Here is a 22,431-nt window from a genome sequence, read left to right on the forward strand (position 1 = left end):
CACCTCTTTATAGAACCCGTCTTACGCATGGTTCTGAACTAACTGCTTCTGTCACCTGGATTGCTTACAATACCTGCTTGCCTCATGTGCTACTATTGTTTCCAACCAACTATGCTAGACTTCTTAAAGGTTCTATTTCATTGAATGCTTTTACAGTATTTTCTATGACTCTTTTGTCTTTGAGCCTCTCAGATTAGCTTTTTCTACAAAAGCTGTTTGGCATGCCTATTGTCATCTATTTTCTTTCAGAGTAGCTGCTAACAGCCAGAAGCTGCTAGTTATGGCCAAAGGCCTCATTGTTGGAGAGTCGTTCTTGTTCTTTGACTCTAGGTAGAGAGGATGAAGGCTCTGAGATACTGTCTCAAAACATTCATGTGTTTTCTATGACAAGTCAAAGCTACATTGTCATATTAGAGGTGTCCAGTAGCCCCTTAGCGTGCCTCAGAGTGGGAGGTAGTGTTGGCACCGAACTTTGTCAGCCAGTCTCTTAGAGGATCTTACTGGAGTTTGTGATTGAGCTTTTACTTCTTCTGTTAGTGTTCTGCTGAGACATATACACTAATGATAGCTGCCACTCTGGGGTGCAGAACTTTCCATATAGATTGCCTTAAAAATAAAAGCAAATTTTCTATGCATACATGCCGGGGAAAACTCTACTAAATATTCAGTGGTTCCAAGAAATGCCTTTTAACCATTTGTAATACTTTAGCTTTCTACCTTTTCATCTCATTACTTATTTTCAGGCAGAATAGATATAGAGGCTTCTTTCTGCATTATAGTCTTCACAGACTTAAAGGCATCAGGAAGTAGCCCTTGTGATTTTCCTTGCTCTTCTTCTTCCCATTTTTCCACCTCCTCCTGTAAGCACGTACTTTGTGTCAGGCATTGAGAGATACAGAGAGAAAAGGCATAGGTTTCTCCCCTTGAGAGGCTCCTGGTCTACTGGAAGAAACAGACAATTCCAGCACAATGTGATAGATACAATGATAGCAGTTAGAACATGAAGCCATGGGGGCGGAGAGGAAGAAATCAGCTGTGGGTGGGAATGGAGTGGGTAGAAATATTGAAGAAGGTTTCTAAAAAGAGGTGATGCCTAAACTGTGCTTCAAGTGGCGAATAGTAGTTATCCAGGTAGAGAATCCAGGCAAGATTTATCCCTGGAATGATAAATTGGAGGACCTGCTGAACTTTTGTCAAGGCTGGTAACAATGAAGTGAGGACTAGATCAGGAAGAGGTTTTTATATAATGCTTCAAAGTTTGCATTTAATTCTGAAGTTGATAAAGAACCATCGAACAATTTTAAGCAGAGAATGACATGTTATTCCCAGACATGTTAATAGTGAGACGATTAGAGTCATTTCTAGTCCTCGGAATAAAAATAACAGTAGTTTCCTAGTGGTTCAGCAAGGTATGTTTTAAATTTCGTCATCTTTTTAATCAAACTGCTTAAGGCTTCCTTTCTACTCTAATAGTTACCTTTTTCCCCTAATTGCATAATGTATATATTTTTAGAGCTTTTCATAATCAGGTACCACCTATTCACCTCATCTTAATTCCTCTGCTTTGTGACATGTAACTTTTACTCTACTGGAGTTGGTGCCCTCATCAAATATTCTAAAACAGAAGGAAATGTAGGCATTCTCTGGGTAGGTTTGTTTAGTGCCTAAGAAAATGCAGGAAATGAGAGTGTGTATTTATTGAGCTTCTACTATGTGCCACACACTTTGCTAAATACAGGGAATGCATTGGTTATCACATCAGAAACACACAACCCATGTGTTTATGACGCTTAGTTTAGAGGATCGAAACAGTGCCATCCCTAGCAACCAGAGGGCACAGAAGTACAGTTTCAATCAAGTTTATGGTCATAGGTCCTTGTACATTAATTGACATGACAAATATATCTCACTCCAATTTTGATATGAAAAAATATTCCCCCCTTAATTGTCCTTCAACTTTCTCTGTGCATGTTGTTGGCAGCAATTGTGTCTCATGGTCTATCCTCCATGGTCTAGAGCTAAAGATACAGTGGTTATTTAGTACATTTACATGGGATTTTGTTTCTAATATTCTAATATAGCTAATCAATTCATATTAACTTGGCTTTTGCGTTAGAGGATAAGAAAAGTGGAGAATAGGTTCATCTCAATTTCTGGCTCTCAGTGACTGGTAGTTAACCTCCTGGAGCACTACCTTGAGAGGATTCTGAGGCTTCATCTGGGTTGAGTGGAAGTAGAATAGAAATATGTCTATTGATGATGAATGCCATCTGCTGGGAAAGGAGGGTAGAGGCACATATTTGCCAACATGGCTCTAAGAAATGGGAGAGCTGCTATCCAGTTGTGTCTGAAAAGATTAACTGGCAGCTAGAAACTTTTAAAACTACCCATTGACTAGTTCTATCTCGGAGAACTACACCCCCTACTTGCCAGTTCATGTCTTATGTCTCTGCCTGGGTCTGTCTATGTCAAGTTCTTATTTGTTAACTTAGTAGAAGCTTAGTGGACTCTGTGAAAATGATAAAGCTTGAAAGAGCAAGCCTGTGATAGACTGTGATAGACTGAGCCTTTATAGTATCCTTAATGCTCTAGAAACTTGATTGACTGGAAACTTTTTCTTTTTCTTTCTTTCTTTCTTTTTTTTTGAGATGGAGTCTCACTCTGTCACCCAGGCTGGAATGCAGTGGCACAATCTCTGCCACCTGGGTTCAAGCGATTCTCCTGCTTCAGCCTCCCGAGTAGCTGGGATTACAGGCATCCACCACCATGCCTGGCTAATTTTTGTACTTTTAGTAGGGACGGGGTTTCACCATCTTGGCCAGCCTGGTCTTGAACTCCTGACCTTGTTATCCACCTGCCTCGGCCTCCCAAAGTGTTGGGATTACAGGCGTGAGCCACTGCGCCCGGCCTGGAAATTTTTTCTATAAGATACACAAATACATTGCAGCCTGTTCCTGATCAGCCATTTAAGTGGAATAAAAGTCCTAAGAAAGTTCTTCTTGAGAAGAATAAAATTGAGACCTCCACTCTGAACAGGCATGGAGCATTCAATAAGGCAAAGGGTCAGAAATCTTGCTTAACTTCTTACTGTTCACATCTGTAACTGGGCATAAACCTATAGGATCATTTTCCTTTCACAAAGAATCCATCAAATAAATACTTGTTAAAGCCTACGCTTAACTTGAGCACCGGTAGTAATGACTCGCATTATCAGCGGGGCTTTTGGGCTTGCACTCATGGCTCTGTGATTCATGAGGGCAGAAAAACTGACTGGCTTACAGCTGTCTCTCTTTTTCTGGCTGGCCTGCCTGCATGCCTAGATAACTGAATGGCTTTTTTCAGAATGAGGTATGGTCTAAGGATTTTGCTACTTCAACGTCAGTTTCCTGGATCTTTTCTTCTACTCCAGCTTGCCATATGTCCCTTTTATATTTTCTTGGCCACTCTCTTACAAATAGGGCCATAGATCAGAGATGGTGGCCCCATCTGGTGAAATCTAGCTTTCAGATACGCTTTGTTTGACCCATAGAGTGTTGGATCACATAGAATTTTTAAAAATTAATTAACTGTCAACATTGTACTATTGATTTCAACTTTATCTGGAGTCTTTTTAACTTTTATTTTGAGCTCTAGAACTTGGACATTTTCTGGCTCCTGCCTTGCAAGTCTGAACCTCAGTTCCAGTTTTCTATTTTTGGTGCTTAGTGTTTTTGTCTTTGGCAGATCCTGACCACTGTTAACAAAATATAAAGCATGAAAATGGTGGCATCCATGCGATGCAGCAGTTGGGACTATGAGCCCCAGGTTGGATGTCAGCTGTATCTCAGCAGGTGGAGTTAGTTTACTGACCCCTGTTAGCAAGACCAGAGATGCAGATGTGACTCTGGTCATGCCAGATATTAGGTTTTTCAGACTTTGGGATCTAAGAGGACCATCTGCTGCCACATTTGTGCTTGGACTTCACTGTTAGAGTTTGATCAATGGCATCCTGTGATGAAAAATGATGTTCATGAATATGAATCTAAATCTGAGCAAGTGTTTGGTGTGTGTGCATCTCATAAATGTCACATTAGGCAATTAAGTATATACAATTTATAAATAAGTATATGTAATTTATAAATACATATATGAAGTTCATAAATAAATAATATATAACTTATAAATAAATATATAAAGTTATGATTTTATAGTTTATTAAATCCAGAGTTTTTCTTTTGTTATAGCCCTGCCTCTTAGGCTTGACAATTGGCTTAGAAGTTATCCTCAAGAGAGAATCTTTCTTTTTCTTTTCTTATTTTTTTTGAGATGGAGTCTCAGTCTGTCACCCAGGCTGGAGTGTAGTGGTGCGATATCAGCTCACTGCAACCTCCACCTCCGGAGTTCAAGTGATTCTCCCACTGCAGGATCCCGAGTAGCTGGGATTACAGGCATACCGCACCATACCTGCTAATTTCTGTATTTTTAGTAGAGATGGGGTTTCACCATGTTGGCCATGCTGGTCTTGAACTCCTGGCCTCAAGTGATCCACCTGACTTGGCCTCCCAAAGTTCTGGGATTACAGGCGAAAGCCCCTTTGCCCAGCCTGAATCTTTCCTTCTTAATGACTCCATGCTATACTGTCTGTTGATTTATTCTGGCTTTTCTCAGTAAATAACAAAATTAATAGTGATCGCCATCACTTATTGAGTGCTTATCAAGGGTCAGAAACTATGTGAAGTACTTTTATATGTGGGACCATCATCTCCTTTATTTCTTACAGTCCTATGTGGTAAGATATTATCTACATTCTACAGTATAAGAACATAGGCTGAGACAAGTTAAATATCGTGCCCAATGTAACACAGTTGGTAAGGTGTCCAAACCCTGGTTAGGGTGTCTCCAAAGGCCATAATCATGACCATGGCACTAAACTGCTACTTCAATCTAACATCTAATTTAATAAAGATATGAACATTTGTTAAGCACCTATATAGTTAGGAGCAATTTCAGATGTTAAAAGGTGTAATTCATATTTCTTGCTCATAAGGTGTTCGAAATCTATTGAAAAGACAAGACTTGTGCTGTACAAAGATAACAAAGTTGAGAGAGTTTTAAGTGATGAGTGAGTGGAGTGGACAGTTTAGCGGAGGGAGAAATCACAGCAGGCCCAAGTCATCAGCTGCCTGAGGGAGAGAAGGGAAGTGGGGCAGAGACAGTGGGATGTGTGATTCCGTGGAGACCCCAGAAGCAAGATTCTTTCACAACACTTCTTAGTCATTCTTTTACCCTGAGTAGGAACGTTATGCAATAATAAGATTAGCCCAGAAGTTTTATCTAGAAGCTGTATCATCCTGGAAGCTGAAGAGAATAAGTTCATTTCATTATTATCTATTGTCAAAGGATTAAATTTGGAAGGGAGATAAGTATATATTTATTTTTTTGCTTGTTGTGAGTAAATGACTTTGCAGTTAGGTATACAGTTGAAAAGCTTTATTGAGATTTGTAGTCAACTCTGCTCCACTCATGGTACCCCAATACTGGCTTCTCCACCATTCCATTTCTCCAACTTCAGAAAATGTCCACAGCGTCCTTACTTTCCAACATTCTCCACTGATGTGGAGTGGATCATTGGTGCTCAGGCCTCAAGTCACAAACCTGTGAGTGACATGGTCTTATCCGCTGACCTGGTGTTTTTTATTGAAGTTGTCCTCTATGCAGATAGTTTAAAAACAAGAGAAAAGAAAGACCAGGTGGTAAACCTCCTATTCCTTGTCAGGAGAAATAGTGCCAAGAAGCCATCTGGGCACTCCAGGGCACATGCCCACATCCCCTCATTCTTTCTAGTTCCCTTGCTGGAGTGCATAGGGATGGGGCATTTACAACAGAACACGTGGAAACACATTCTCAGAAAGTTGAGAACAGAGTGGCCTGGGATAAGATGGCAGAGGGAGAGAAGAAAATACTTCTCTGAGTGGGGACTGTCTCTAATTCTTAGTTTATTCTCATGCACCTGCCTTCTAACTCAAATACCTTGGAAGAATTTGAAGTAATAAGTGCATCATGTAGGGTTAGAATACTCTCTCTTTTTCCAATCAAGTGGGTTGGGCAAGAGGGCAGACAGCTTCCTCATTGGTAGGTAATAAAAGGATTCTGATTTATCAGATTGTGGGATCACCAAGTACCAGAGTAGCCAGGGAAATTCTCAAATGGATTTGAAAATCCTAGGGAAGGAGCACCATTTAGAGAGGCTGGAGAGAAGAGAAAGGCACTGCAGCCTAGGAAACCCAGTGAACAAGAATGCAGAAGCAATAACACCTGGGTTCATACAGAAACCTTTGAGGTGACCCCTAAGCGGGGAGGTATAGACATCCATTAGAAATGGATTGTGCAGGAGGGGAAGGGCTTTGCACATCAAGATGGACTTGGGTGTGGTTTTTGTGCGTGACTAAGGGGTTTCTGCTTTGTGTGTAGGCATGGGGTACAGGAGGGCCTAGAAATTGCCCTCTCTGGAGCATATCCTTACCCCAGTGCAGTCAGAGAGATAAGGGCTCAAGTTCTGTTTATGCATTTAATAGCCTACATGATCTTGGGCAAGTATGTATCCCTGCTGAACTCCATGTCTGTAAAATGGGGCTAATGCTACCTATTTCATTTGCTTATTGTGTATGATATAAAACAGTGTTTGCAAAGTACCTGGCACATGGTAGGCTCTTTTCTTATATTGTTCCGGCTCTCAGCTTGCTTTACTCCTGGTATTGCTCCTGTGTGTCTCTGTATTAAAGATCATGGAGGAATATAAGTATATTTTTTTCCTGAGAGACTTTGTCTTAACTTTGAGATTCTGTCCTCAGCTGTTTTACTGTCTGGTCTCCTAAGCATGAGTCACGTGTCCAAACAGCAGTCTTTACAAGCCCATGGGTGGGATAGTAAGACCAGCTTGTCACTGTTTGTGACTCTGCTTCTGTACCTCCCAGTCTGTGTGACATCTTCCCCCATGGGGAGCCGTTTCTACTTTGTCTTTAATTGCTCCTCACCGAGGCGACTTGTCAGCCAAGGCTGCTTTCTGTCATTTGATGCCACATCTCTTCCTATTTCAGCCAGCCATTTGGGGACATTCATTTAGTTGACAGTCTGATTTTACAGAGAACATTGTACCAGACAATAATTTGCCTTGTAAGGGGGTCCAGCAGGGTTTCCTGCCTCCATGCTGACCCAGGGTGCCAGTACACTTCTGCGTGGCTGTGGCTGTGGTTCTGCACAGAGCAGGTGGGGAAGGTGAAGATATTAACAATGGAGAGTCCCAGTTGAGCATCACTGGGCTACAAGTCCCTTGCCCTCCTGTCCTTTTCCTCTTGGTAGATAAACCTTCACAGAACCTCAATTCAGGACCCTATCCATTTCCAACAGAACCCCAACACCATGGGAGATGAAGATATAGGATTATTTCTTCCTAGGTTTGTGTGCCGGTTTAGAATTGTCTGTGTCCTACTATGTCTAACATCCCACTTGATCTTGACAACAGCCCTGTGAGCTGGGAAAGAGGGACAGTTTGTGGAACAGATATCGAGGCTCTTACCTTTGGAATAAATAAAATGGGACTCAGAAGGGTTATTCAGCTGTCAGTGAGAGTGGTGTTGGCTTTTTATTCACAACAGTGAAAACTCCATATAAATAGACAGGTAATTTCAGGGCCATGGAGTAGATAGAGCACTCACCCTCAAAGAGCCTTTGAGAGAAGTCTGGTTATCTCTGTCTGGCCAGTTTCTGGCCCTTGCTTCTCTTACCTATGTCTTCAGAAATCTTCATTCCGGCTATTCACCTTCTCTCCCAGTCTCAGTTAGGTACCCTTCTCACAGAAGAGTTCCTCTTCACTGCTCTTGTATCTTGTTAAAAGGCTTTTTTTTCCCTCCTTTTTATTCTGTCCCCAGCCTGCTGTAGCAATGCCTGATCTCTCTTTCTATTTATTGTTCCATGGAGCCAAACCTCCTTCTGTCCCTTTGGGATGACCTATTGTTATACATTAATAATTAACCTTTACTAGGAACTCTAGTCACAGGCATTTAACCCAAATGCAGAAAAAGCCAAAGTTTGTTTATGACAAAGAGTTCTCACATGCTAAGGTATAATAGTGAAGGTTAGAAAGGAGAAGCTGACACTCATTAAACTTTTATGATTTCTTTTCTGGTTTACTCACTTGAGTGATTGCCTGAGGATCCTGCAATATTTCCCTTTGCACATGGTCAGCCCAGTTTAGCTAAAATGAAAAATTCAGCTTTTGAATTGTGAAGTTGAGCATGCATGACTTTCCATGTAATGTTAAAGATAAGCCTCACAGGTGCTGCTAGTGGGGCCTGGTTCTGAGCATATGGACCCTGGGGCCCAAATGCCTAGGTTCAAGTCCTGCTCTGCCACTTATCAGCTGTGTGCCTGTGGGCCGGTTCCCTAACTGCTCTCTGTGTCTGTTTCTGCATCTGTAAAATAAGGCAATGATTACAGGTATCTCAAATGGGTGTTGTCTGTATCTAATGGGATGGAGAGGTGTTAAATCCTTACCATGGTGCCTGGTGGTAGGTGCTTAATAAGTGTTAGTATCATTATTTTCAATGTTATTGACTATGGTTAGGTCCACGGTCAAGGTTACATAATAGTGAGTCATTTTCAATGCTTCGCCATAGTTATATATCACTCTTGTAATATCCATTAGAATGCAAACAGCTTTGCTTGATTCTCTCCTGGTGATGAGAGATGGGAACTAATTCTACATTTAAATATTGGGGATTATATGATATGTGCTGGAGTGACCCATCCAATTAACTTTGTCTCACAGATATGGACAGATGAGGCTTATTTTAGAAATTAGCCATTGTTGTTTTGGAGATGATAATGCAACCTTTTCAGGGCTGTGGAAATAGCGAAATGAGATTAACAATAACCCTCCAAATAGCTGCGACTTTTGTGCCCTTATGATATTGCATTCCTAAGTGCTTCACATGTTTTAAATCATTTTATTATTACAAAATAAATAGTTTGTTTATTCCTATGTTCCCAATTTCAGGAGAGGAAACAGACTCAGAAAATTTACTTTGCCAAAGTCACATAGCTTGTAAGTAGTAAATGTGGAATTCAAACCTAAATCTGGGTCCTGACTTAGAATTTGAATAAGGTAATATAAAGAAAATAGGAAAATAGTTGGGACGCTCAATACTCAGATCCTTGTCTATTTCCCTTCCATTGTTTTCTGCTTATTAAGTTTTTATGGATACGACATTGCTCAGAGATCAGAGCGCCAAAAACCATTCCAGGGTACTGTATCAAATTTCAGTTCAAATAAGAGTAAAACTTTTTTGAAATTCTAATTTCATGGAGAAAGATTAATTTCTGCTTTTAGATGGATTATACCTGGTTTAGAAAGTCATAACAGATTTTTTTCCCATAGGTTATTGGGGTTCAGGTGGTGTTTGGTTACATGAATAAGTTCTTAAGTGGTTATTTGTGCGATTTTGGTGCACTCATCACCCAAGCAGTATACACTGCACCCTATTTGTAGTCTTTTATTCCTCACCCTCATCACACCCTTCCCCTCAAGTCCCCAAAGTCCATGTATCATTCTTATGCCTTTGCGTCTTCATAGCTTAGCTCCCACATATCAGTGAGAACATACAATGTTCGGTTTTCCATTCCTGAGTTACTTCACTTAGAATAATAGTTTCCAGTCTTATCCAGGTCACTGCAAATGCCATTAATTCATTCCTTTTTATGGCTGAGTAGTATTCATATATATATATCACATTTTCTTGATCCACTTGTTGATTGATGAACGTTTGGGTTGGTTCCACAATTTTGCAATTGGAAATTGTGCTGCTATACACATGCCTGTGCAAGTATCTTTTTCTTATAATGACTTCTTTTCCTCTGGGTAGATACCCAGTAGTGGGATTGCTGGATCAAATGGTAGTTCTACTTTTAGTTCTTTAAGGGATCTCCACACTGTTTTCCATAGTGGCTGTTAGACAGTCATAACAGATTTTTTTAACTGCCATCCTCACGTTCTCCACCTACCTACCCACTCTGCAGGACAGTGGCCATGGCTTTGCAGAAGTGTACACTAACCTTGGGTAGGGCATGGAGGCAGAAAGCTCTGCTGGACCCCCTTGCAAGGTGAATTAGTATCTGGTTCAGTATTCTTTGTAAAATCAGACTCTCAACTAAATCAATGTCCTTGACTGACTGGCTGAAATAGGGCTTCAGGGTGTCTCATTCTACCACTGTACAGAGGGCACATGCAATGTGCAAAAAATAAAAACAAAAACAGACCTCTGTCCCCACCAGCTTTTAACACTTACTCTTTTCTTTCAAGTAATATATCCACATGGTTGAAAAAAAGTCTAACACTGTAAGAGGGCACAGTGAAAAGTAAGTCACCCTCCCACTCCAGAATATTAATCCCGCAAATATACTCCCCAATGACAATTTTATAGTTCCAAAGAGACTTTATGCTTACTGGAGCATATATACATATAATGCCCCCACGCCCCCACACTTTTACACAATGATAACATAATGCACCCTCTATCCTGTTCCTTGACAATTTCACTTAACAATGTGACCTGGAGAGCTTCCACATCAAAACCAAAAGCAATACCTTGTTTGCAAGGCCTGCCTAATATTCCATTATAACGCTGTGCCATCTGCTATTGATGGTCATTTAGGTTGTTTCTGGTATTTTACTAAGGGTGCTTCAGTAAATCACTTTGTATGAAGTATGTGAATCCATGCAACTCGATCTCTCTTGATTTTTATTTGCAAGCTTATGTTGTATAACTTTCTGACAACACAAGAAATTGGCCAGGAGACAAAAGAAATTCTGTAGAAATATAGAGGCTTTTTTGGAGCTTGTGTGCACATCAGATGTTTCTTCAGATACCTTTTTGGTTCCTGTGTCTCATTGTTTCTCATGTTGTTTTGGGCTATGTCCTGAAGCCTCTTTTTGGGTCATTTTTCCAGGTGCCCAGTGAGTGATGGATGGATACTGTTTGCAAGATTGATTCACATGGCACTTTTGTTTGGCTTTTGACAGGTTGTTTATAAGAATAATGACATCCGTCTGGAGCTGTCTCGCCTGGCCCGGATTGCGGACACCAAGATGAAAATCTATGGCGAAGTTGTGTTTAAGTGTGAGAATGTGGCCACACTGGACCCCATCAACTTTGAGACCCCAGAGGCTTACATCAGCTTGCCCAAGTGGAACACTAAACGTATGGGCTCCATCTCCTTTGACTTCCGCACCACAGAGCCCAATGGCCTGATCCTCTTCACTCATGGAAAGCCCCAAGAGAGGAAGGATGCTCGGAGCCAGAAGAATACAAAAGTAGACTTCTTTGCCGTGGAACTCCTCGATGGCAACCTGTACTTGCTGCTTGACATGGGCTCTGGCACCATCAAAGTGAAAGCCACTCAGAAGAAAGCCAATGATGGGGAATGGTACCATGTGGACATTCAGCGAGATGGCAGATCAGGTAGGAAGAGGCAGGATGTGTGACTGAGACTAGACGAAAGCTGTAGCTTCTCAGTTTGTTTTTTGGCTTTATGTTTCTTAATTTTCACCCTTGCATGCTTGTTGATTCTTTTGCTACTCTCTTTAATGGCTGTTGTAAAATTATGTTTCTGAAAAGATACCTGTCTCATAGATGGCTCACATTCTCCGCTTATCTCTCTTGTCACTCACTGCGCAATTGTCTCAGTGATAGCTCTACGATCCTGGAGCTAAGGATGGTTTTACAAGTAGCATTTCCACTGCTACCAGAGCAACTCTCATGTCACTGGTGTGATCCGCCCCCATTGCCCCATTCTTTGCTTCTCTTTTTCCTCATCACCATGGAAACCGATTGTGACATCACAGATGCTGCATTATGTGATTATTTTGTAGGATAAACTTCACTGTGCAAGAATTTATGCAACAATACACCCTTCAGTAATTGGCAAGAGTCATGTTGCATGGAGAAATTATGACAAGAAAGGAAAAGGCAAATTGATTTTTCCTGAAGATACATTCAATTTAAAGCCTTCCTTTGGTGTAAAAGCCTATATTTCACTCTTTGTTCAGACCTCACTAACTCTCTCTTCCTCTTCATAACCTTTTACATTTTGTTTAAATGGCTTTGTTTCTGCAGCTGCAGATCAAACAAGCTAGCCCCAGGCAGTACATAGCTACTATGGAATAGTAACAAAGTGGGGGTGGGGGTGGGGCAAAATAGTCAGGGGTTTTTGAATGCCTGGACAGTCTGCCTAGCTTTCTATGGACCATGTGGCAATGAAGGTCACATTCTGTGCTATCAGAAAGGGCATTTTCCCAAGAGCAGTAATTAGAGCATTTGCCATTTCAGACTCATTTCCTGATTCTCCATTTAGGTAGGATGTACTCAAGAAGGGTCTTGGCTTCATGTGCCATATTTATAGAGATTCACTTTCCTGATGAACATTAAAAAGTCTCTATTTGGATATTTTCTTTCTAGGTACATTTGGCCAGTAAGAGAGAGCAATAAGTTCCCCAAAAGGCTGAAACTGGGAGTGACTGAGCTTTGGTGGGTTGGCTTTTCTGCATAATTCCAAAGCTAGGCTGACGGCAGAGATAGCAATATTGCCCTTAGGAAGAGCTGGATGGGTTCTTTGCAGAGGGCAGATGGGTGGCAGATTGCAGCCCTGGCTATTTTATTGCCCAGTAGGAATCTTTACTGGTTGTCTGAAATCTGATCAGAACCAAGAGCCTTCAAATTAAATGTGCTCGTTAAGCAAGAATGAATAGTGTCTACCCTTTTACACAGAAAAACACCCAAAAAATTAATTTCTTTGGAGGCTAAATCCCGCCACACCCCCCATACTTCTTCTTCTTCTTTTCTTTCTCCTTCTCTGCTTTTCAGTAAAATGACAGCAAGAGCAGAGTCAGAAAGCTGTTCCAGAATTATAAAGAAAACACTGCTGTTGGTTTTTAAGAGCATGTGTTTGGGATCTCTGAGGTTAGGTCACGGTGGACGGGTTTTGTGTCTGACTAACCTAGACCTTGGCACAGCATAAAAGTTACCTTACCCGTGTCTCAGGCAGGCTAAAACACACAAAATTGCCATTTGTTCATTTCTGTCTGTTCCTAATACAAATTTTTCTTTCAAACAATTTTGAACAAAGGGGAACAGTTTTTGTTGTTTAAACCACCAGTGGACCCAACTTCAACAAATATGTTTGAATTTCAGAAGTCTTAAATTTCATACCTGGGAGCTAAAGCACTGGCTAATTCTTTTCTCTTTTTTTTTTTTTTTTTTTTTTTTGAGACAGAGTTTCTCTCTTGCTGCCCAGGCTGGAGTGCAATGGCGCAGTCTCGGCTCACTGCAAACTCTACCTTCCAGGTTCAAGTGATTCTCCTGCCTTACCTCCCAAGTAGCTGGGATTACAGGCACCCTCCACCAAGCCCAGCTAATTTTTGTCTATTTAGTAGAGACAGGGTTTCACCATGTTGGCCAGGCCAATCTCGAACTCCTGACCTCAGATGATCAACCCATCTCGGCCTCCCAAAGTGCTGGGATTACAGGAGTAAGCCACTGTGCCAGGCCTGGCCAGTTTTTTGAACTACTGATGAATTTGATCAAAGCCTATTAAAAACTTACTGAGTAAACAAACAATTGTCCCATGAAAGCAGTATAATCTAAAATTTTAATACAGTCTGTTAAACTTTCATTTTTTCATGAGAATGTTTTCTGGTAACTTGTTTTAGATTATAAATCTATACTAAAGGATAGTTATAAAAACAAGTGTATCTAAATGTGGTGCCTCCTTCCCTGATAATCTTGAAGAATAATATAACAAACAGTGATCTAGAAAAACTTTTATGATCACTCCTCACTTGGGCAAGTCAGTCTTAGAACTTGTTAAGTGCATTCAAAACTGTTATGGTCACACATTCAGAGAACAGATTTTCCTCAGGTTGTATTTAAGGCTCTAAAATTTAAATTGATTCTAGTATTGTCTTTACTTGGCAATAGATGTCTCCCCATTTTAGTTGGTGATCAGATTAGCCCTGTGGACCTGTGAGGGGTAAAGAAAGAAAACTATGCAACAGAGAAAATAGTAAGAGATAGAGACCTCAACTTCCTCCTTTGTAAGATAGAGAAAATAATAACTCCTACCTCCCAATATTGTTTTGAGGATCAAGTCCAAAAATGCACATAAAATAGTTAAAATGGTAGCCAGGACATTATTGTTGTTATATAAGTGTTTGAAAGATTGAAAAACAAAAGGCAAAGCATATTTCTCTAGGAGTAAACTTCTAGGAGGGAGTAGTGAAGCAGATTGTTAAATTCCCCTTAATATCCTTTCTATGCTTCTACTCTTGTGTTGACTTTGCACTTTATTTATTGTTTTTAACTTTAGTTAATTAATTAATTAAATTTCTTGAGAGCTAGTCTCACTCTGCCACCCAGCTTGGAGTGCAGTGGCACGATCTCAGCTCTCTGCAATCCCCACCTCCCGGGTCCAAGGAATTCTCCTGCCTCAACCTCTCGAGTAGCTGGGATTACAGGTGCCTGCCACCACACCTGGCTAATTTTTGTATTTTTAGTAAAGATGGGGTTTCACCATGTTGGCCAGGTTGGTCTTGAACTCCTGACCTCAAGTGATCTGCCCGCCTCAGCCTCCCAAAGTGCTGGGATTACAGGCGTGAGCCACCACACCCAGCCGACTTTGTACTTTAAAGTGTATGTTTCATTCTTGATCACGTCTGATCTTCGCAGCCCTTCAGGTTATATACCCTTCATAACTGAAGAAACTGAGAATCAGACAGAGGTGAAGGCTGACTGATGGATGGCATGACCCATTTATCTTGATACCAATAAAGCACATCAAGAATAATAAATACCTATTTTAAAATTTCTGACAGGAAGTTTAGATATCACCTAGTCCATTTCCTTAATTTTCCAGTTCGGGAAATTGAGCCATAAAGTGGTTCAGGGATTGGCCTAGGGTCATAAAGACATTTAGGACTAGAATCCCTGCTCTCAAGGTCCCAGGTTAGCTTGTGGGGTTTCATCTTCTACAATCTCATTTGATGCTGTCCAAACTCCAACCCCTTCCTGGGTCTGCTTAGCTCTCTGACTTGATCTCCTGCTCACCCCCTCTTGCCTTCTCTATTCTAGCCACACATCTGCCTACCTCAGGGCCTTTGTAGGTGCCATCCCCTCTGCCTGGCATGCTCTCTCTCCTGGACTTTGCATGGCTGAATCCTTCTCAACATTCTGGTTTCAGCTTCACTTTTACCTGCCTAGAGAGACCTTCAGTGACTCTACATTTTAAAGTAGAATGCATGAGTAACTAGCACACCACCCATTTTACTCTCTTCATAGCAACTGCCCTTAGCTAATTTATTTCATTTATTGGGTTACTTATTGTATTAGTCTGTTCTCATGCTGCTAATAAAGACAAACCCAAGACTGGATAATTTATAAAGGAAAGATGTTTAATTGACTCACTATTCAGCATGGCTGGGGAGGCCTCAGGACACTTACAATCATGGTGGAAGGAGAAGCAAACACGTCCTTCTTCATATGGCAGCAGGAGAGAGAGAAGTGCAGTGCCAGCCAGAGAAATGCCAGATACTTATAAAACCATCAGATCTTGTGAGAACTCACTCACTATCATGAGAACAACATGGAGGTAATGTCCCCATAATTCAATTCACTTCCCACCAGGTCTGTCCCACAACATGCAGGGATTATGGGAATGGCAATTCAAGATAAGATTTGGGTGGGAACACAGCCAAACCATATCATTTATTTTTTGTCCCTCTGTTCTGGAACATCTGCTCAATGAGAGGAGAGACATGCCTATCAAGTTCATCTCAGTGCCTAGAACTATACCAGAGACAGAATAGGTCTTCCATACACATTTATTAAATGATTAAATAAGGAATAATGTTTCAGTTAAAATGTGTCACAGGGAATGCTCAAAATATTCACTGGCAGGGCTGGTAGTGAATGCCCAATCTAGAGAGTACCAGTGCATGGAGAGAGAGACAGAAGAGGAAGTTCCATCTTTTGGGGGTTGGTGAGCCCTTGAAGAAAACTCAGGCAAACATATGGAGGCCTCATTCTGTCTCAGTCACTCTTAAAAGCACTTTGCATATATTCACTCATTTAATCACACCAACCTATGAGGTGGGGACAGTTATTTTCCCATTTTACAAATGAGGAAACTGAGGCACAGGAAGGTGAAGTCACTTCTTCACGGTTATACAGCTCATACATATTAGAGCTGGAATTTAAATACAGGCAGGAACTGTGCTGCTCTCAACCTGTATGGTCTCAGCCAAGAGGGTTAAGTAGAGAAAAGATACACTAGATGTTAGGTCACTGAGATTTTTCTGGGTCTTCCTAAGGGCCAGCTTGACTTAGCTGGCAGAGATTGGAACCAAACGGCCTACATTGTCTTTTCCATTGTCTTGTAACATCTAATTCTCTTGCTTACATTGTTCTCTCCTGGCCAGCCAATGGCTGGGCTCAGCACTCACCTGTTAGGTTTCTTACATTTGGTTAAGCAACTGGCAGACTCACCTGAGATCTGTCTTCCCACCCCAGGTACTATATCAGTGAACAGCAGGCGCACGCCATTCACCGCCAGTGGGGAGAGCGAGATCCTGGACCTGGAAGGAGACATGTACCTGGGAGGGCTGCCGGAGAACCGTGCTGGCCTTATTCTCCCCACCGAGCTGTGGACTGCCATGCTCAACTATGGCTACGTGGGCTGCATCCGCGACCTATTCATTGATGGGCGCAGCAAGAACATTCGACAGCTGGCAGAGATGCAGAATGCTGCGGGTGTCAAGTCCTCCTGTTCACGGATGAGTGCCAAGCAGTGTGACAGCTACCCCTGCAAGAATAATGCTGTGTGCAAGGACGGCTGGAACCGCTTCATCTGCGACTGCACCGGCACCGGATACTGGGGAAGAACCTGCGAAAGGGGTGAGTCGGCCTAGAGGATGGCAAGTGAGGGCCTGAGTGGGGCTGATGTGTTACAGTTGGATCCCTGGGCAGCCCAAGCCTTCGCACCTACCTGCACTTTCTTTCTTCCAAGAGTTTTTGGGTTTACTGATTTCCAGATTGCACCCTTTCTAGTTCTGAATGCTTGGGTTTGTTTGGCTAAGACTGAGTTGCAGAAAGGGAAGCTTTATAATAAATATTACTGTGATTATGATACTTTTTGATTAAATATTTTCTATTTAGAGAGGGTAAATAATTCTCTTTTGGGACTCCAGGGGGCCTAGCCAACTGGCTGTTTTATTCATTCATTTGACTTGTGATTCTTTAGTGCTTTCTACAAGCTAACTCCTGGGTTAGGCTTTAGAAATACAATGTTGAACAAGACAGGTACATCGCTGTTTTTATGGAGCTTGCTGCCTAGTGGAATATTTAGCCATTAAATAACTGATTACAAACATGGTGAGTTTTATAAGAGGCAGAGTGATGTATTAGTTAAGAACATAAACTCTGGGGCCAGACTGGGTGAGAAATCTGGCCCTCATGCAGTGATGGGAATTTCATCATGGTAGTCAATATCTTTGAAACTTGACTTCCTCATTTGTAAAATAGAAATCAGGTACCTACCTCACAAGATACTGATGATGATTAAATGAGTTAATAGGTTCTCGAGCATTTAATGTTAGTGATTATTATAGTCATAATTATTCTCATCAACATCATTAAAGAGAAGGTATAGAGAAGCTTGGGAGGCCCTTGGAAGGAGACCTAACATACCATACAGGTTCACTGTATAGTGAGCAACCCTGACAGTTGAGGACCTGAACAAAGTCCAGAATGGACTGGATGCTTTGTTCCCTTCTGAAAAATGTCCAGAATAGAATTGGGGAACTGTTGGGGTGGGGAGGAGGGGCATGAGAGGGGACCAAAGAGATGAGGGCTGACCCTGTAGACTGGGCCAGAATGCTGGGAGGATTCCCTTTTCGTTCACCACTTCAGTATCTGACATTTGCACCCGATTTACAGTTTAAGTAAAGGGCATAGATAAAGGCAAGAAGAGGGACAACATCAACACAAGGAGATTCCAGTCAAGCTATTTGCAGATTGCAGCTTGGTCTATTTTTTTATATGCCAAGCACACAGAATCAAGCTGAATATCCGCAGGCTGTCAACTTCTATATTCAATGAAAGGATAATTTGCATCAGGATCAAGTTTTTGCTAAGGGTATAGCTCTAGGGCTTTGAGAATGCTGTACCTGTATAGTTCTTGCCCTCAAGAAGATTATCATTTATTTAGCTGAGGAGTTGAGACATCTATATAATAAGCTGTAATAAGATGATGTAAGACAGTAGCATGTTAGTGGACAGAAAAGAAGGACATGGAGATTCAGAGACAGAAGAACGTTTTGAGGAGAGACCTGCAGGGTCTCATCTCTACAGACCAGTGGCCAGTGGCCTATCAGAAGATAGGTGATGTGGATGGATCCTGGGCCAGGTCTAGAACAAGGGCTGAATGACCAGTTTTCAAGGCCTGTTTTTTTGTAAGGCCAACTGTGGGGCCAACTGTGTTACTAGCTAAGGTATATTTCAAGAGAACTACAAACCCTTTTTACAGTCAGATCAGAAATAGAATACAGGACATGAGGACAAAGGAAGAAAAGAGAGCTTTCTTGGAGCATATGGAATTAAAATTAAAATTCACTGAATTTTCAAGTCAGCAACCACCAGAACAGGAGCTATGATAAGGAAATACTCATCTGGGACAGGAATAGGCCACAAGGGGCTGGTCAGTCTGTCAGGTGCCTGGGCTCTTTCCAAGTATGTTTGTAGGGTAACCTACCCTGGTGCTGGTTGGGGAAGATAGAAAGGTCATTTTTGTCTCTGAGATGCGTGAGACAGTTTTGGTGTTTGCCAAAGTGTTGCAGATCTTCTGTTGTCTATGAAGACAGTATAAAGGTCATCTCAGACATCTCACTTCTTCTTGGGTCTCCTCTTAACTCAAGCAAGGGCCTTGTGATTGTCAGAGGCAGGACACAGTGACTGTAGCCAGCTGTACAAGGTGTCTCTGAGCTCACCCATTTCAAGGGTGAATCAACGGGAGTTGGTCCAAAACTTGCCAAGAACAGTGAAAGTCACTGCACCTTTTACATTGTCACTTCTGACTAGTCATTAAAAGGCAGCTGATTGGGGATATATGAGGGACAATTATTCTTGGTGCAGTGCAGCCAAGAGTCATCCATTCTGGCCAAATGAGAAGAAGCTTAGCAAATTTAAGATATTTGATCTATACATCGCTCAAATCCCAGACGGTTCAACTGATTGTTTTGTTCCCCTACTAATTGTTTTTTGCCCCTGGATTGTTCCTGACACCATGTTCAGAATGAATCAGTGGAGTGTAAAAATTATAGGACTCTTCTCTGCTAGCAAAGAAAAGTTGAGATTCCCAATGACATTGTTTTTCTTTATGGAAACTGATTCCTTAGTGGAGACTCTTTTGAGTATCTTTTGTTCATTTTTCCTGCAGGAAGTTGACATATATTGAAGCCCTAGTGTGTTCCAGGCACTATGTTTGAGGTTGGAAATGCAACAAACAAAAAATCCAAAACAGAAACACCAACTTGACACGGCCTTTACTTGTGAACAAGGGGTGTATAGTCCTCCCAGGAAGCAAAGGAAAATGTGAGAAATGTTTAACATGTGGTTAATGTTATGGCAGATGTCTATAGGGAAACAGTAGGACAAACAGGCAAGAATGGCCACTTCTATATGGAAGGAGTGATGGCCCAGAGAAGGGGATCCAAGCTTTCTTGGATTTTAGATTTCCTATTTCTAACTTTAGGCATCCACTCTAGGCACTTCTGAAGAAGAATGAAGAAAATGTATTGGGTATTCTCTCTATACAGGAATGGAATACTTTTCGGATTAAGGAGCCCTGCCCCATTCACCATAACAACATCAACACAATCACTCAGTTTGCCATTCTCTCTCTAATTTTTATTATGTAGAAGCATTCTAGAATCAAGTCTAAGTCTAGAATGGATCATTTGTACTAAATGTGTTAAGCCTAAGACAATTCTTAAGGCTGTGTGTCCCAGTAGCTCAAACTGTGTTCTCTACTGGAACTTCCTTGGGGGTGAGTCCATTGGTATAACTGGGCCCACACATGAATGGGAGTGTTAGAAAGAAGCACTTGTGTATATACACTGAAGAAAGCATAGATGGAATGCTGAAAACTGGAGTTTTCATGGCCCAGGTCAGACACTAGACACTACATCAAAATAGACCAATGACCCAAGCAAAGTCAGCAACAGATAAATCTAAGAGACAATTCCTGGATCAAAGTCATCAGCCAAGTATAAGAGAGTCAGAGAATAAGGCCTGGGAAGTAGAAAGTGTGTATATGATACTAAGATTAATTTGCATGTGTATGTTTCTCTTACAGTAAAATTGGATAACTCCTGCTTCTACCCTCATAAGAGTGCTTCTTCTGCCTGTGAAGATGAGCTACTCTAAATCTTGATGTCTAAAAATAGGCTTGATTGATATTGTATTTAGATTTTTTTCAGCATAATCTGTTGCTATTCTAAGATGTAGCTGTCTCTACCTATCCCAACTGTTTAGCTCTAATTATTTTTGTTGGCTATTCATAGTGATGTGAGAGACGTCTCCATGACCTAAACAGCAAAGGCCTGTTTTAACTACTTAATTCTAATCAGATAGGTTGAAATTCTTTAGTATCATAGAATACCACCTACCATCCAGTGAAGTCCTGTTGGACAGAGGAAACAGTCTAGCTGGTCTTTAGCCTGCTCTGGAGTTAGTCCTACTTAAGGAGCTATGATCACTTGACCTGGGACAACATCTTATCTTTGCTGGTATAGCCAAACTGTCTAGTTCAATTGGTGAGCATCAAGTTCCAGCAAGGCAAAGCCAAGGGTTTGATTTATTTGTACATCATGGAGCTTAAATTTTAGACCATTGCTGAATCTATGCTCTTCCCTGAATGGCTTTTTCTAAACATATCCTGGCATTCATTTGGCAAGAAAGTAAATAAAGCTCAGCACAAGTTCATCCCAATGTCAAGAAAAATAACCTACAGTACAACATTTATCTGACATATGCACCAGCTGAACACGAAGAATACAAGTATTTTTACTTCTCTCCAGTGACTCTTGTTCCAGTGGGAAAGGCATGCAGGCAGCAGCTGCTGCTCCTCTCCATTCGGGGCCTCCCTTTTTAGGCAACCTCCTATGTGATCCTGGGTAGCAGCAGCAGCAGCAAAAGCAAATGATTCTGCCTGGAAAGGGTGAGATACCAATCTTCGATGAGGCTGGATTGTGTCATTGAAATGCTACATATATGCCACATGGAAATCATGTCATAAGAAAATAGTAGGGTTGGCAGAGGCCAGGAGTGGTGGCTCATGCCTGTAATCCCAGCACTTTGGGAGGCTGAGGTGGGTGGGTCACCTGAGGTCAGGAGTTCAAGACCAGCCTGTCCAACATGGCAAAACCCCGTCTCTACTAAAAATACAAAAATTAGCTGGGCTTGGTGGTGCATGCCTGCAATCCCAGCTACTCAGGAGGCTGAGGCATGAGAATCACTTGAATCTGGGAGGTGGAGGTTGCAGTGAGCCAAGATCATGCAGTTGCACTCCAGCCTGGGTGACAGAGTGACTCCGTCTCAAGAAAAAGAAAAGAAAATAGTGAAAATAGTAGGGTTGGCAGATACCGTTAGTGTTACCTGCACCTCATTCCTGTTTTGGTAAATGAGGAATTGGAAGCCCTGAGAAGTTAAGTCAACATCAGTTTAGCTTGGAATTGCTATAGAATGGTTAGAATTTATGATTCCTGATTCCTAATGCATCAGGCTTTCCATTACATTGAGCAGCCTTTCCTTCATATATACTGTTATATACATATACTAGATGGTTATTAAATGTGGGAGGGCTCCAGGGTTTCTGTTTTAGGTCTCTTCTTGGCCTGCACGGTTCCCTTGGTGCTCTTATTCTTTGCCACGATATTAAAGGTCATCTATATGTTAGTGACTTCCAAATTGAGGTCTCTTGCCTAGAACTCTCCCTGAAATCTCAGATTCTTATGTCCCTAGTTGTCTACTTGACATCTCCATTTGGATATCTGATAGATTAACTTAAGCTACTTAATTAATAGCTACTTAATACATAGCTACTTAATTCTAATCAGATAGGTTGAAATTCTTGAATATACTGGAAGAGCACCTGCCACCCTGTGAAGTCCTGTTGGACTTAATCGTATCATGGAACAGCTTAATCATATCATTGAAAAGCAGAAATCTTGAGGTCTTCCTTCCTGCCCCAGACTTCTTTTACTTTCAGTTTTTCCCCTTCTTGGTAAATGGCATCCCTACTGTCCTTGGGCATTTTCTTTTATTTTTGTCCTATGATATTCAATCTATC

At 41.5% G+C, this 22,431-nt stretch overlaps 1 protein-coding gene and 1 long non-coding RNA gene across 54 annotated transcripts in view; one reads left to right on the plus strand and one right to left on the minus strand.

Moving 5' to 3' along the window:
* NRXN3 (neurexin 3) overlaps positions 1 to 22,431 on the plus strand; it is a 1,697,919-nt gene that overhangs the window by 527,788 nt on the left and 1,147,700 nt on the right. For all 52 annotated transcript variants that reach the window (NR_158973.1, NR_158975.1, NR_158974.1 and 49 more), the window contains 2 exons: positions 11,057 to 11,495; positions 16,596 to 16,979. Coding sequence is in view for 46 of the 52 variants with exons in the window: in XM_011537363.2 (XP_011535665.1) it covers positions 11,057 to 11,495; positions 16,596 to 16,979 (823 nt within the window). In the remaining 6 variants the exon portion in view is untranslated. The remainder of the gene's footprint in view (positions 1 to 11,056; positions 11,496 to 16,595; positions 16,980 to 22,431) is intronic.
* On the minus strand, positions 5,455 to 11,800 carry NRXN3-AS2 (NRXN3 antisense RNA 2). 2 transcript variants are annotated; one of them, NR_188165.1, is made up of 3 exons: positions 10,622 to 11,800; positions 6,673 to 6,750; positions 5,455 to 5,689 (listed from the first exon to the last, which is right to left on the minus strand). It is a non-coding gene; the product is annotated as an NRXN3 antisense RNA 2 (long non-coding RNA). The 2 variants fall into 2 exon arrangements; NR_188166.1 differs by lacking the exon at positions 6,673 to 6,750 and having other exon boundaries at positions 11,656 to 11,800.

The sequence above is a fragment of the Homo sapiens genome, chromosome 14 (genome assembly GCF_000001405.40).
Source record: "Homo sapiens chromosome 14, GRCh38.p14 Primary Assembly".
NCBI lineage: Eukaryota > Metazoa > Chordata > Mammalia > Primates > Hominidae > Homo > Homo sapiens.